General features: G+C 50.4%; 1 protein-coding gene across 1 annotated transcript in view, besides 2 other annotated features; it reads left to right on the forward strand.

Moving 5' to 3' along the window:
- The window catches only part of DLGAP2 (DLG associated protein 2), a 970,849-nt gene that overhangs the window by 893,867 nt on the left and 62,197 nt on the right, over nucleotides 1-14,785 (forward strand). Inside the window, exon 8 of the mRNA NM_001346810.2 lies at nucleotides 1,333-1,552. Coding sequence (NP_001333739.1) covers nucleotides 1,333-1,552 — 220 coding nt within the window. The remainder of the gene's footprint in view (nucleotides 1-1,332; nucleotides 1,553-14,785) is intronic.
- Nucleotides 948-2,147: an enhancer, noted in NCBI's record as "BRD4-independent group 4 enhancer chr8:1580608-1581807 (GRCh37/hg19 assembly coordinates)". NCBI's record gives its function as "activates an origin of replication core promoter dependent on BRD2, P300/CBP, MED14 and CDK7 cofactors, and independent of BRD4, by STARR-seq in HCT116 cells {active_cell/tissue: HCT116}" and the evidence as "EXISTENCE:reporter gene assay evidence [ECO:0000049][PMID:35650434]".
- Nucleotides 5,540-5,773: a silencer, noted in NCBI's record as "fragment chr8:1585200-1585433 (GRCh37/hg19 assembly coordinates)". NCBI's record gives its function as "represses an EF-1alpha promoter that drives an FKBP-Casp9 reporter gene in an ReSE screen in K562 erythroleukemia cells {active_cell/tissue: K562}" and the evidence as "EXISTENCE:reporter gene assay evidence [ECO:0000049][PMID:32094911]".

Genomic DNA, 14,785 nt, shown 5'->3' on the forward strand with positions numbered 1-14,785 from the left:
GTGTGCATGCTTCTGAGCCCTTTGCTGGGTTCCTGAGGCCATCCTGCCGGCTGTGTCCTGGTTGTGCCTGCCTGGGTTTGTCTGTCTCTGTCCAGTGTCAGGAATCCTCAGACCTTTCTGAAAAAGGCCACCCCGCCGGCATTGTGCCAACTCTTTCTGCAGCCTGGCATGGGTCTGTCTTCCCTGCAGGGTGGCTTCAGGCTTTGCTGCCCTTTGCTCACCCCCTGCCTCTCCAGGGTCCATGCTGAGTTAGGCTCACGAGGAAAGAGGCCGTCCTTCCAGCACGTAGGTCACCTCAGGTGAAACCAGAGAAGTCCACAGGTCTGAACTTGGAGACAGGCAACCAGTGTCGTGTTGTGTCAACAACACAACTGCTAGAGGGAGAACCTGATTCTTTGACCTTGCCTTTTACTCTGCTGACAACTAAAGGAAAAGAACTAATCTGGTGTTTAAAACAGTGTATTTTTACAATGTATCTGCCAACATAATCCAGGGGGTTCAGAAAGCTGTTGGTGCTTTGAGCTGTCACACATCCCCAGGAGAAACAAGAAGAGAAATAATCTGAATGGGAGGGGGTGAGGGGAGAAAGAGAGACAGGGGAGGAAGGATGGAAGGGAGGGAGGATGGGAGGGAGGGGAAAATGAAGTGAGTATACTAATATCCTAAGCTAAGGAAGAATAAAAAAAGCCTGGAATTTAGGTAAAGTAGCACATTTCATGTGGACGAAAACACCAGTACAGCCATTTCTTTCTCATCTGGACTCAGATATATGCTGCCGTAATGGGGATAAGGAGATGAGTTTAGAAGCCAAATTTGTGATGAGTTGCCATGGCAATGGGTAGAAGCAGACTCCATATTCTGAAAAAGAACTGAGTAGTGTATGCACTGAATGTGCTTTCCCTTATACGGCCTCAGTGCCTGGAGCCATCGTGCCATTAGTAGCTTGGAAAGGGGGGGCCGTCATGTGGGAAAGGGAAGGAAGAAATGGATTCTGAACCCTTCCTTTGTACCAGGTACTTTGCTAATCTTTTAAAAGTTCTATCTCTCTTACACTTTGTAATAACTGTCAGCCTTACCTTGAAGGTTTGCCTTGCGGTCCCCCAGAATTTCATCAACACTTGGAATTGGCTGTTTGCCTAAGTGTTTCGTAAGGGAAAACCCAATGCTGTATTTCCCAAGCTCAGCCGATGCCCATGCTGACTTCAGGTTAACTGTGCTGAACTATGAGGCAGTGAAAGGCAGCCTGGGAATGAGCGCGCTCTCCTGGCTTTTCTGTAACGTGATGGTGACCCTGGAGGGCCGGGGCATCACGTGTGCTGTTGATGATTGCAGGTGAGCGAGGCGGAGATCAATGGGCAATTCGAGTCCGTGTGCGAGTCCGTCTTCAGTGAAGTTGAATCTCAGGCCATGGATGCCCTCGACCTCCCGGGATGTTTCCGAACAAGGAGTCACAGCTACCTTCGAGCCATTCAAGCCGGCTACTCCCAAGATGACGAATGTATTCCCATGATGACACCCTCTGACATCACCTCCACCATCAGGTCAACAGCAGGTAAGGGGACGCCATTTTCAGCCTTCCAGCGGGGACTCTAGAGGCATACCTGTCTTCATCCTAGAAGGAGCGAGCAGCACACAGCACCACAGTACAATGTACTCTCCTGACATCTAGTAACGTTTCCTAATTGCATGTGTTACACTGTCACATTCGCAAGGGTGTTTTGTCTCTTGTAGATAACCTTTCTTTTTCTTAGAATGAAATCTACTCATTAGCAAGTTTCCTTAAAATAATCAAGTGTAACTTGTGTAAAGTTTTAGAGAGGAGAAAGAAATGGAAGTGCTAGCATTTGGAAGGTGATTAAGTTTTAAATACCAAAGTTTAATGGATTGCAGTGAGATTTCTGCTGATGCGCAGTGACTCTCAGGCTGCCCTGTAGTGACGTCCAGCCGGTCTCTTGCTCAGTAAGCAGATCTGTAAACATGACTCACCGCCGCTAAGCAGGTCCATCATTAATGCAGATGCACTAACTATCTTAGAGCTCCGAAGACTCAGTCTCGCAATTTCCTTTAGTTCTCATGGAAAACCATACCCACCCCTTTGAAAATTTACCGCCCAACCTAAATATCACTGCCTAATATTTTACTGCCTAATATGTTATTATTTCTATAACACGATGAATACACATGGCCTAGAGAAACCCATAAAACACAGCAAGCAATAAAAGCTCGAGGCGCCGCACATAGAGGTTAAGGAAAGGAGCTATAAAAAAACATAGTGTTGGGGACTGAGGTGTTCTGAATACCAGAGGGCTTGGAATGCTGCAGCTGTATCTTAGAAATTTAAAGGACAGCTCCGAGGGGAAATAGAACAAAGCTATGTTCATGATGAATAGCATTAGGAACAGCAGACACATAACAGGAGAGAAGCAAAGAGAAATTCAGGCAGGAGTGTGTCATCATACCTGTGAATAGGTCTTGGTTTGTTTCAATGCTAAAGTGAACAAGAAATCCAGGAGATTGCACTTTGCAGAATTAGAAATTGCAGTCGGCACTATCATTGCACTTTGTGTAGAAAGTATTTCATAGTAGAGTCTGTGGATGGAAGGGAAGGAACTGTGTTCAAACCGTGTTCCATCATGTCCTCGCTGCAAGAACTTAGGCTTGTTAACGTTTCTGACTCTTGGTTTCTGCGGTATTCAAGAGAAGCTGTAGCCATAGATAATTTATTTGCATAAATTTAAAGATTATTTTTCAAAGAAAGCTGTGGATCCTCGGTGTGCTTTTTATGTGGTAGATATTTCTTCAATGCTGGCACCACTGAGCCGGGGGCTTCGGGAGAAAGGCAACAGATCCTGGCTCTCTGGCTCCCAGCAGGGCTTTCTGTACGAGGGAGGGTGGTGCCCAGGACCCACCCAAGGGAAATCCACAGGCTGACAACACATCCCCCAGGTGCAGCCACCGGGCAGCTGTGGGCACCCTGCGTAGCCTCCTGTTTTCCTCTGGTTTGGCCGGTTCTGCTCACTCCTGCCCCTTGGTGAAGTCCTGGGCCAGTTCTCATGCTCTGTCCTGATGTGAACATTGAACAAATTAGAATCAGGGAAGTAATGAGATTTACAATGATTGCATTGAAAAACAGCGGTCCAAGAGATCATTACTCATACTTTCAGCAGTATTTGTTTACTGTCTCTTAGGAGCAAGTAAACAATTAAGAACTTTCATAGTCTTCAGAAATGCTTTGAAACAATCATTACCTCGTAGAAAAGGACTTTATTGTTTTTAGGACTGTCATTATAGAGAGAATAAAAATAAAACAGATTTCACAGAGATAAGAACCAGTTCTGAGCTCAGACTAAAATTTTAATTTATATATATACAATGTTTACCATGTATATTTTGTATTCCAAAAATACACCTACCAAATAAATTACAAAAAAAAGATTCCATTCAGAGTTTCTACCGGATCTTGGCCCAGTTTTGAGTCAGAATTTCCTCTAGGTGATGCAGGGGACTGTCCAAGTTATGTGACATCTGAGAATCAAATGAGAAAAGAAATGAAAAGCACTAGGGGAAATACTTAGCACTGTAGGATTACAAGTTACCCTTGTGAAGAAATAAAAGTACAGATTAATCATTAACCTCTGCTGTTTCCCATTTTACTCTAAGTATTGTATATTAGTTATTTAAATCTTTATTTACTAAATAAAATTTAGATGACATGCAATATAGTCTATTTAGCAAGATTATGGAAAAATACCAAAGAAATGAAAACTCCCAGTCTGGGAAAACAAAATTATGGAGGAAAACTATCAACATGTACGGGATGTAGGTGCCTCGATAATTGTGATAGCTGAACTTCAAATTTCATCCAAAGTTTCCTGTCCGTGAGTCAGGCGGATTTCAAAAATTTTCTACTTAAATACTTCTGACTTTTGTATTTAAATACTTGGAAATTGATATCCTAGCACTACGTTCAATAGCTGTCATTTACTGATCCATGTATACATGTGTGTATGTGTGCGTGTGTGGTGTATGGGGAGAGAGGTTATTTTGACAGATTGATTTTCTTTTATGATTTTCTGTCTAAAACTAGCTCATGAAAATAATTCCAAAGAGTTATTTTTGAAAACATTCCAAAGTGAGTACCTTGAAGAACGAGATTTATTTAAACACATTACTTTATGCAGGCTCAAAAGGTAAAAGTTGATGTTATTATTAGATTATTTCACCTTGTATAACTACAAATGTATAATATTCATATAATAATAAATATTGAATATATGCATGAAAGATGTATTGAGAACTTAAAAATACATCTTAGACCATCTGTTTTAAACATGGACAGGTTGAGGTTCCCAGAGGACGTCTGTTGGTTTGGGGACACCCCAGTTCACCTGCTTTTTCACTCAACCTTTAAAGGCAGCTGGTGATCGAGCTGAGACAGACCCTTTTAATCTAATCACCAGGGAACTCCAGTAAGAACAGAATACCCTGTGAGGCGGTGTGAGCCACGCATATAAACGTTCCTTCGTCCCACCGTTTCTCTCATTATGAAAAACACTGCATATTGATTAGTGTCCTCCCCTTAAATGAAGTGGTTTTGAAAACATCTAACTCATTTCACACATGGTTTCTTTCTCATCTGGGAAATTATTTATCGGATTGCTTTACTTGTCCAAATATGCATCTCACCCGATTTTTCTAGGGAGGGAATATTATTGATATTGTGAAGGAAAATGGTGTAAAATTAGATTATAATGATTTTTCTCTGGGCCGGAAATTTTCTCAACATATGATACAACTGATTCTAGAAGTCATTAAAACAAAGGGAAAACCTATAGAAAGCATGGCAGAGGAAACAGCCACAGACTTATTTTATTATTTATATTTCTATAGCAACTTGTCTCTCAAGGGTACATAGTAATTCCATTTCCAAGATACATACTTGCCAACATAGAGGAGAAAAATTATCTCTATATTTCAGTACCTTGAATATAAGAGGTAGAATAACTGTTTTTCAATACTATGATTTTTGTTGCTTTTTTAAAATTTTACTTCTTTGCTGACCTTCCTCAGTTTGAATAAATATGACTATGTATTTGATTCTCCCATTTTTAGTCTTTTACAATAAAAGACAGTGTTTTACTTAATTTTATCTTGTCACAAAGAGTGGATTTTCAGGCGTGTGAGCCTGGGGAAATTTTCATCGTGGACTAAACTTGTTGCCTCAACCTTCTTCTGATACCAGGACCTGGTACCGTCGAGTTACTGTGTAACTGATATGCAAGTTTGCCTGACAAGATGGTGAGAACATATTTTAAAACTTGAATTTGAAAAAGTAGAGAATTTAAAGGAAAAGAAACTGAAAATGGATGTCAGCTGGGCTGATCATAAAACGTTTTGGCCAATAGAGTAAAGGTGATTTGAAATCACAAAATACCGCAGGGCATATTCAGGTGTGTTGGGACACACAGGCACCACTTGGTAAACCCGGCCGATGGCTGCCGAGTGCGCAGCACCCCAGGTTGGAGGGAGGAGGTGCACCCCAGAGGAGGAATACCCGTCTGGCCGCCGGCTGGCTCCGCAGGCAGGATGTCTCTGCAGACGTGCTTGCTCGGGGACCAGGTGTGCAGTGTGCAGCCTTTCCAGGTCCACATACCTCTGACCGGGCCCTTCACCCTCCTATCCTCCTTTCCCAGAGGGCTGGCAAGGAGGCCCTGCAGCCAGCTTCCCTGCGGAGTTAAAATAAAACACGCTATATGGGGAAAGGCTTTGGGAAGGACATTTAGCTCTTTACTGGAAAAATGAGCAGCTGGAGGTTCTGTGAGCCACAAAATCTGAAAACCAGAAGATTCCTCCAAACACGTCTTCTCCTTGGATCTGTCACTCTGACACAAGGGCTTTACAAATAGGCTCAGAAACTGTTGCGCGGGGCTCTCAGATGCATAGCCTCAGGTCATAGCTTTCCATAAGTCAACAGCTATGCACTGCGAGGACCAGCCTGCACACCCCACAAAGGCAACAAAAAGCTGCGTTTCAGTAAACAAATGACCAGAGGAAATGAATGAAAAAAGTCACACATGATCACTTTCCGTTTTAGAAATGTAAAAAATGAACTAGAATAAAGAACAATCATCTTATATGCCAATTGAAGATTCTAAAGAAAAGATCAAATTACATTTATGTCGTAAGCATTTATTAAGTGTTTGCTGTGTGCCGGCCGCTGCGCTAAGTGCTCTGAATCCAGAAGCACTGAAGTCCTGAGCATTGGCCCCGAAGGCCTAAAGTCTGGAAACAGTTGCAGTTGAAGAGCTCGTCAGCCATGGCACACCTGCTGGGTGCTGTGAGATGTGTGTGGATGGCTCTGGAAACCCAGGGGAAAGCCAGCACTGCAGCAGCGTCCGGGAGGCCTTCCGCCTGCAGGAAGAGTTGAGAGGCTTCAGGGCTGGGCAGCAGAAACCCAGGGAGAGGGAGGTGCCAGCCTGAAGTAATGACAAACGTCCCGAAAACCGCTGGGCACCTCAGCTCTGGGATTCGCAGGGCACCCGGCCTGGAGGGAGAGGCTGGAAGGCAGGACGGATGGGGGACATGAGCTGAGAGGGACATCCATGCTGCACCTGTAGTACTTGCACCTGCAGAATTCGGAGGTCACTGGAGGACTCTAAGCAGGAGAGGGATCTGTGGCTGAGTTGTGTTCCCCGGACTTGGTGCTGAACCCTAATCCCAGGACCTGAGAATGTGACTGCGTTTCAGACAGACCCTTCGAAGAGGTGACCAGGTAGAATGAGGTCACAGGGGGCCCAAATCCAATCTGTCCGGTGTCCTTATAAGAAGAGGAGATGAGGACACAGACATGCAGGAAGGGACCAGCTTGTGAGGACCCGGGGAGAAGACGGCATGTGCACACCCAGGAGAGGCCTCAGTTTTCCCAGCGCCTTGGTCTGGGACTCACAGCCTCCATGACATGAATCAATGTTGCTCTGTTACGGCAGCACGGGAGGACTAACACGGGGGCCAGAGTCATGTTATAATGAAGACCCGCGGCCCGGCCGTACTGCAGAAGAGCACGGAGAAGACAGCTCCTCAAATAGCACAGGTGAGAAGGGATGAGGCCGGGCTGTGCCAGGCACAGGTGCAGGAATGGCTTTCAGAGGGAGCTCCAGGGGCTCCCGGCTGAGCTCTGGGGAGCCGTGAAGAGGCTTTTAAGAGGCCTCCTGCCCCAGCCGTGGATGAGGCCCAGAAAGCCAGCATGCAGGCAGGGAGTCTCCAGGACTTCATCCAGGAAGCTGGGTCTCCCGGGGAGTCCAGGAGGAGAGGCCGTAATGATGGCTCCATTTAGGGACAGACGCAGAGAAGGCAGCGGATGCATGCAGATCCCAGCGATGGGGCTGTGCCGTTGTCTCCTCCTGCTGAAGCAACAGGATGGAGGTGATGCTGTTGCAGCCCAGAGAGCTGGGTCATGGAGTGCAGGTAAAAGAAGGGATGGCCAGTACAACCGGGGAGCCGGGATGGATTGGGATGAAGTGCCCAACAGCCCTCTCCAGCTGCTGCCTCTCAGCAGCCGAAGCCAACAGGGCCCAGCCCACAGGTGCCGAGTAGTTCAGATGTGTTGAGCTGAGGGTCCCATGACTTGCTAACCCAACTTCAAGAAGAGGTGTGGAGGTCGAGGCTGGAGGTGCGGTCCAGAGCCATGGAGCCACCCCCGAACAGGAGGGTATAGAAAGAGAAGAGGCCTGAGACCAGAGCCCACAGCGTCAGCATCGTGGGGAGAAGGGGCCTCCAGAAGGAGCAGTGGAAAGGTGGGAGCCAGGAGGGATGGGGAGGGGCCACGGAGGGGAGTTCAACACTGCCCCAGTTCACCACAGTGGGAACAGAGGCTGTCCCTGGGTCTTGGCAGTGTGGGCAGAGTCCTGGAAGGCTGCTGCGAGGCCTGAATTGTGCAGCCCCTCTATGCGGAGCAGCAGGGGTCCTGTGCCACCCCCGACCCAGGGTAAGCCCAGGTTCCTGGTGTCCATAAGCCCTGCACAAATTCAGCACAGCGGAGACCCCTGTGGGTCCTCCCAGAGACGGGCCTGGACTGAGGAACCCCTACAAAGCAGGTGTGTTTGTCTCATATTTGCAGCTGTAAAAATGGTCACAAGCCCTATGGTCTCCAGCAGCACAGATGTGCCGTCTCACAGTCACAGAGGTTAGAAGTCTAAAGTAGGTTCTGTGGGGCTAGCGTCAAACATCAGGTCGTTCTGGAGGCTTCCGGGGAGCCCGCTCCTTGCCTCCTCAAGCTTCTGGAGTTCTCTGCCGTCCTTGGCTGCGGGCCACATGGCTCCAGCCTGGGCCTCCATTGTCCAAGCCTCCTCGTCTGACTCTGACCCCCTCCCTTCCTCATGTAAGGACCCTGGGGATAACACTGGGCCCACTGGGATGATCCAGGATCATCTCCCCATCTCAAAATCCTGAATTTACTCACATCTGCAAAGTCCCTTTTGCCACATAAAGTACCATGGTCACAGGTTCTGGGGACTAGGATGCGGACATTTTTGGAGGGGCGTTATTCTGTTTACCATAGTAGGTTTTGGTAAATACTGGTAGAGTGCATGAATGAATGAGGTCTTCTCTGAAACCGAGCCCAGTATAAATGGTGACATCCTTCAGGCACTGACCCAAGGGGAACCCATTTCTCTTCTAGGAGTATTACACAAATCCTTGTCGTAAATCCAGGTTGATCCTGATGAAGAGGAGCCAAATCTGGCTCGGGCTGATGGACGCTGTGTGCAGGCTCAGAGTTCACCCTGGGAAGCCCAGGTGTGCTGCCCCGTGGGTCCTCAGTGTCAGACCTGCTGCTGAAGGGAAGCCCAGGCGTGCTGTCCCATGGGTCCTCAGTGTCAGACCTGCTGCTGACATCACGTCTCCAACCCCGCAGCACAGCGTAGTCCAAATGCCAGAAACCTGGCAACAACGATATCGTGCGGGAGTCGGTCCGAGATGTCCCAGGGAATCTGAACGTCTTCCCAGCCGCTCAGGATGTCTCTGATTGTCATGATCCCCATTAGAACGTCTCAGAAACTGCCAACCACCATGGCTTCCATGAAGCCCCAAGAATCCTTCAGCAAAGCTCCATGTTGCAAACTAAAGCCCAGGGTGTGCATCATGAAGACGCCATCCCTGTGTCCCGGGTTCAGAGGCTTGTACCCGGGACTCGGGCATGAGACCCCATTACGGGCCTGAGCACAGCACCAAGACCGTCAAACGCTAAAAACAGGCACAGGTGGAAGTCTCACGTGGCCCGCCCCCCCGCATCTAGACTTGTGTTTTACAGTAAATGACGAAATGCAGTCCAGATACCTAAAAGATGAAAACTAATCTTTGTGATTTTCATTGTCTTTGATTTATTTGAACTACAGCCAAAGCCTTATGTACTTTATCCGTTGTGCGCTAAGCCTATAGGATGAGTGGATGAAAGCCGGTTGGCCCTGGGGACCGGTAGGGAGAAGCCGTGGCAGAGCACAGTCTCTGCGGAGAGGAGGGAGACCCAAGCTCTCCTGGCTGTGGGGAAGGAGAAGCCCTGGGAGACACGGGTAAGGGTCGGGTGTCGGAGTTAGGACAGGAGCCCCTGGTCTGTGCTGTAGAGAAGGAGTGGAACCAGCTCCCAGTAAGGGTTTCCAAAGGTTAAATACTTGACACCTCTGTCTAGAACAGACATGACAGACGAATCACGTGCCTCCCGGTTTGCAGAAGGCGAGCGTGATGCAGATAAATCGTGCATCTGTATCAGGAACTGCATATGTAAGCCAGAATTGCTCGGGTGAGAACAAATGTGTTCATAAAGATTTTCCCCAAGTGTGTAGCCTGCTCTTCCCTTCAAAACCACCGTTTTCAAGTAATTTGTGTCCTTCTCTTATAAAATCCTCCTGTCTGCGTACTTAGACTGGAATTACAACATGAATGCTGGGATGATCTCCCAGGTAATGAGATTTCAAGATGAAGCTGTCATTGAACAAGTGAACTTGTCTAGACGAATTAATCATAATACGAATGAAACTAGAGCCACGGGTTCCTGACTCATAGTCCAGGGCTCTTGCAGTTGACAACGATCTGCGTCTGTCCTATGGCTCTGTCTCTTCCCTGAAGTAGGGGTACATTTGGAGGGACATGTGTATGGGGATGGAGTCAGAAGTCCAGTGAGGACTTCCACATTGTTGTCCTAAGAGTAACAGTTACTGTAAGAAAGGATTCCTAATTGGTCATTTAACATCTTATCACCCAGAAAAGTAATGGCTGAAATAAATAATTGATGCTTGCATAAGTCAGTAGGTGAATAAATTAGTCATTTCAGGTTTTCAGATATTGTGGAGATGGAAGTACTGTTGAATCTGCCTCCCATACCCCTCGAACCCGCCGGTCCTCACCTGTGTCACCCTCGACCCCGCCGGCCCTCACCTGTGTCACCCTCGACCCCGCCGGTCCTCACCTGTGTCACCCTCGACCCCGCCGGTCCCCACCTGTGTCACCCTCGACCCCGCTGGTCCTCACCTGTGTCACCCTCGACCCTGCCGGCCCCCACCTGTGTCACCCTCGACCCCGCCGGCCCTCACCTGTGTCACCCTCGAACCCGCCGGCCCTCACCTGTGTCACCCTCGACCCTGCCGGTCCTCACCTGTGTCACCCTCGACCCCGCCGGTCCCCACCTGTGTCACCCTCCAACCCGCCGGTCCTCACCTGTGTCACCCTCGACCCCGCCGGCCCTCACCTGTGTCACCCTCGACCCCGCCGGCCCTCACCTGTGTCACCCTCCAACCCGCCGGCCCTCACCTGTGTCACCCTCGACCCCGCCGGCCCTCACCTGTGTCACCCTCGACCCCGCCGGTCCTCACCTGTGTCACCCTCGACCCCGCCGGCCCTCACCTGTGTCACCCTCGACCCCGCCGGTCCTCACCTGTGTCACCCTCGACCCCCCCGGTCCTCACCTGTGTCACCCTCGACCCCCCCGGTCCTCACCTGTGTCACCCTCGAACCCGCCAGCCCTCACCTGTGTCACCCTCGACCCCGCCGGCCCTCACCTGTGTCACCCTCGACCCCGCCGGTCCTCACCTGTGTCACCCTCGACCCCCCCGGTCCTCACCTGTGTCACCCTCGACCCCGCCGGCCCTCACCTGTGTCACCCTCGACCCCGCCGGTCCTCACCTGTGTCACCCTCGACCCCGCCGGCCCTCACCTGTGTCACCCTCGAACCCGCCGGCCCTCACCTGTGTCACCCTCGAACCCGCCGGCCCTCACCTGTGTCACCCCTCGAACCCGCCAGCCCTCACCTGTGTCACCCTCGACCCCGCCGGCCCTCACCTGTGTCACCCTCGAACCCGCCGGTCCTCACCTGTGTCACCCTCGACCCCGCCGGTCCTCACCTGTGTCACCCTCGACCCCCCCGGTCCTCACCTGTGTCACCCTCGACCCCCCCGGTCCTCACCTGTGTCACCCTCGACCCCGCCGGTCCTCACCTGTGTCACCCTCGACCCCGCCGGCCCTCACCTGTGTCACCCTCGAACCCGCCGGTCCTCACCTGTGTCACCCTCGACCCCGCCGGCCCTCACCTGTGTCACCCTCGACCCCGCCGGCCCTCACCTGTGTCACCCTCCAACCCGCCGGCCCTCACCTGTGTCACCCTCGACCCCGCCGGCCCTCACCTGTGTCACCCTCGACCCCGCCGGCCCTCACCTGTGTCACCCTGGAACCCGCCGGCCCTCACCTGTGTCACCCTGGAACCCGCCAGCCCTCACCTGTGTCACCCTCGACCCCGCCGGTCCTCACCTGTGTCACCCTCGACCCCGCCGGCCCTCACCTGTGTCACCCTGGAACCCGCCGGCCCTCACCTGTGTCACCCTGGAACCCGCCGGCCCTCACCTGTGTCACCCTCGACCCCGCCGGCCCTCACCTGTGTCACCCTGGAACCCGCCGGCCCTCACCTGTGTCACCCTGGAACCCGCCGGTCCTCACCTGTGTCACCCTCGAACCCGCCGGTCCTCACCTGTGTCACCCTCGAACCCGCCGGTCCTCACCTGTGTCACCCTCGACCCCGCCGGCCCTCACCTGTGTCACCCTCCAACCCGCCGGTCCTCACCTGTGTCACCCTCGACCCCGCCGGCCCTCACCTGTGTCACCCTCGACCCCGCCGGTCCTCACCTGTGTCACCCTCCAACCCGCCGGTCCTCACCTGTGTCACCCTCGACCCCGCCGGCCCTCACCTGTGTCACCCTCGACCCCGCCGGCCCTCACCTGTGTCACCCTCCAACCCGCCGGTCCTCACCTGTGTCACCCTCGACCCCGCCGGCCCTCACCTGTGTCACCCTCGACCCCGCCGGCCCTCACCTGTGTCACCCTCGACCCCGCCGGCCCTCACCTGTGTCACCCTCCAACCCGCCGGTCCTCACCTGTGTCACCCTCGACCCCGCCGGCCCTCACCTGTGTCACCCTCGACCCCGCCGGCCCTCACCTGTGTCACCCTCGACCCCGCCGGTCCTCACCTGTGTCACCCTCGACCCCGCCGGCCCTCACCTGTGTCACCCTCGAACCCGCCGGTCCTCACCTGTGTCACCCTCGACCCCGCCGGTCCTCACCTGTGTCACCCTCGACCCCGCCGGCCCTCACCTGTGTCACCCCTCGGGGCTGAAACCATTTTAAGTGCTCACCTGGGTGCCTCCTCAGCCTCCAGGGGCCTGGCAGGACTTCCCACCCACTCTCCATCCTGCCTGCAGGACATTCTTGCTAAAAAGGCAGCCTGACCCTAAGCCCGCCCGACCAAGAGCCTCGTCTCGGCTCTGTGCAAGAGCCAGAGGAGTGAAGACTGCCGTCCTCTGTGGGGTTGCAAACCCCAGTGACCCGGCCCCACCAGACGGCCCAGCTGCCCTCTCGCTCCCACCCGCTCCCAGCCAGTCTTCCTGAAATTCTCGCACCTCCATGCCTCTACGGCTGCTGCTCGTCGGCCCGCAGTTTCTTCCTTGAGTTTCTGCCTGAGTCCTAGCTGTGCTTTAAGCCCCAGCTCAGGAATCATTTCTTCAAGGAAGCGGCAGAGACGCGCTCCTGATCTGATCAGCGTCTGCACGAAGCACGGCTTCTGCTCCTTCCCACTCCCTGACCAGGAGCTCCAGCCACATAGCACATTTACTGAAACAAACAGAATCTCGATGTACATTTAAAATGTACTTATCTTTTAAAGACATAAAAACATTAGATGCCAAAATATCTAGGCCATGGCAGAGAATTATGTTTATTATTTGTATGCCATTACATTGTCTCAGGAATATATTTAAAATGTATTGACACCATGGCTTTTACTCTAACAGGATGTTCGTCTAAAAAGCATTACATTAAAAACAAATTATTTAGATTCATAAAATTAAAAATATTCTGAAAACATTGAGAAAAAAATACTTTTGCTCTCTTAGGGAAAAAAAACTAGAGTGATGCTTTTAAATGAAATTACTTGCTGGGCACAGTGGCTCACGCCTGTAGTGCCAGCACTTTGGAAGGGTCACTTAAGGCCAGGCATTCAAGGTTAGAGAGAGCTCTGATGGCACCACAGCACTCTAGCCTGGGTGACAGCAAGACCATGTCTCTAATGAATGAATCAAATGAATGAATCAAATGAATGAATCAGATGAATGAATGAATGAAACAGAATCATTCAACATCAGTACAGACCACCTTTGACTTAAAGATGGTTGGACTTACAATTTTTTAACCTTATAATAGCGTGAAAATCATCCACATTCTGTAGAAACCATACTCTGAGTGCCCACACAACCATTCTGTTTTTCACCTTCAGTACAGTGTTCCATGAATTCGAGGAGATAGTCAACACATTATAAAACAGGCATTAAGTGAGACGATGTTGGCCAACTGCAGGCCAGTGTCAGTGTTATGAGCTTATTAGGAGTAGGCTGGGCTAAGTTACGATGTTTGGTGGGTTAAATGTATTAAACGTGTTTCCCACTTACGATGTTTTTAGTGTATGATGGGTTTGTGGGGACATAATCCCATTGCAAGTTGAGGAGCATCTGTATATTTATTTTTTCCCTGTAATGATGCAAAATATGGACTATATGGAGTCACATTTGAAATATTTAAAATGTGATCATGAAGTCCTATAGATACATTTGTGTTGGTTGATTATCCAGACAATAATCTTACAGGTACTATGTATTACCTTAAAAGGTTGTAATTTATTTGCTACTTTTATAACTTGAAATTTTCTTCCTTTGCTTCATGGGTTTCAAGAGTCATTGACATGATTTAATAGGATATTTTTGGACTTAAACAAAATTGCTTCCTGATAGGTATTCCTAGATCCCAGAGAGTTAACCTTAAAAAGATCTTTTTCCTGTGAAGCATCACATGGAAATGAAAGGGGAGTGGACGTCTTGCTCCCAACACGTCATATTCCAGCCTTGTCTTTCCCGTTCAGTTTGCGAATGGTTAGGTGATGTTTGCCATTGGTGGTGGAGGCCGAATAATGCCGCACAGTTCTCTGTATGATAGTGTGATGGTGGAGTTCATGTGGCAACTTGACTGGGCCATGGAGTGCCCAGATATCTGGTTAAACATTATTGTGGGTGTGTCTGAGAGGGTGACTCTGGATGAGGTTAGCATTTGGAGGGGTGGACGAGGTGAAGCAGATGCTTTCCCCAGTGTGGGTGGGCCACGTCCTATCTAGTGGAAGAAACAAAACAGCTGACTCTTCCATAGAGAGAGGGAATTCCTCCTGCCTTTGAACTGCGACTTGCACCATGAGCCCGCCCAGATC

The sequence above is a fragment of the Homo sapiens genome, chromosome 8 (assembly GCF_000001405.40).
Source record: "Homo sapiens chromosome 8, GRCh38.p14 Primary Assembly".
Classification (NCBI taxonomy): Eukaryota; Metazoa; Chordata; class Mammalia; order Primates; family Hominidae; genus Homo; species Homo sapiens.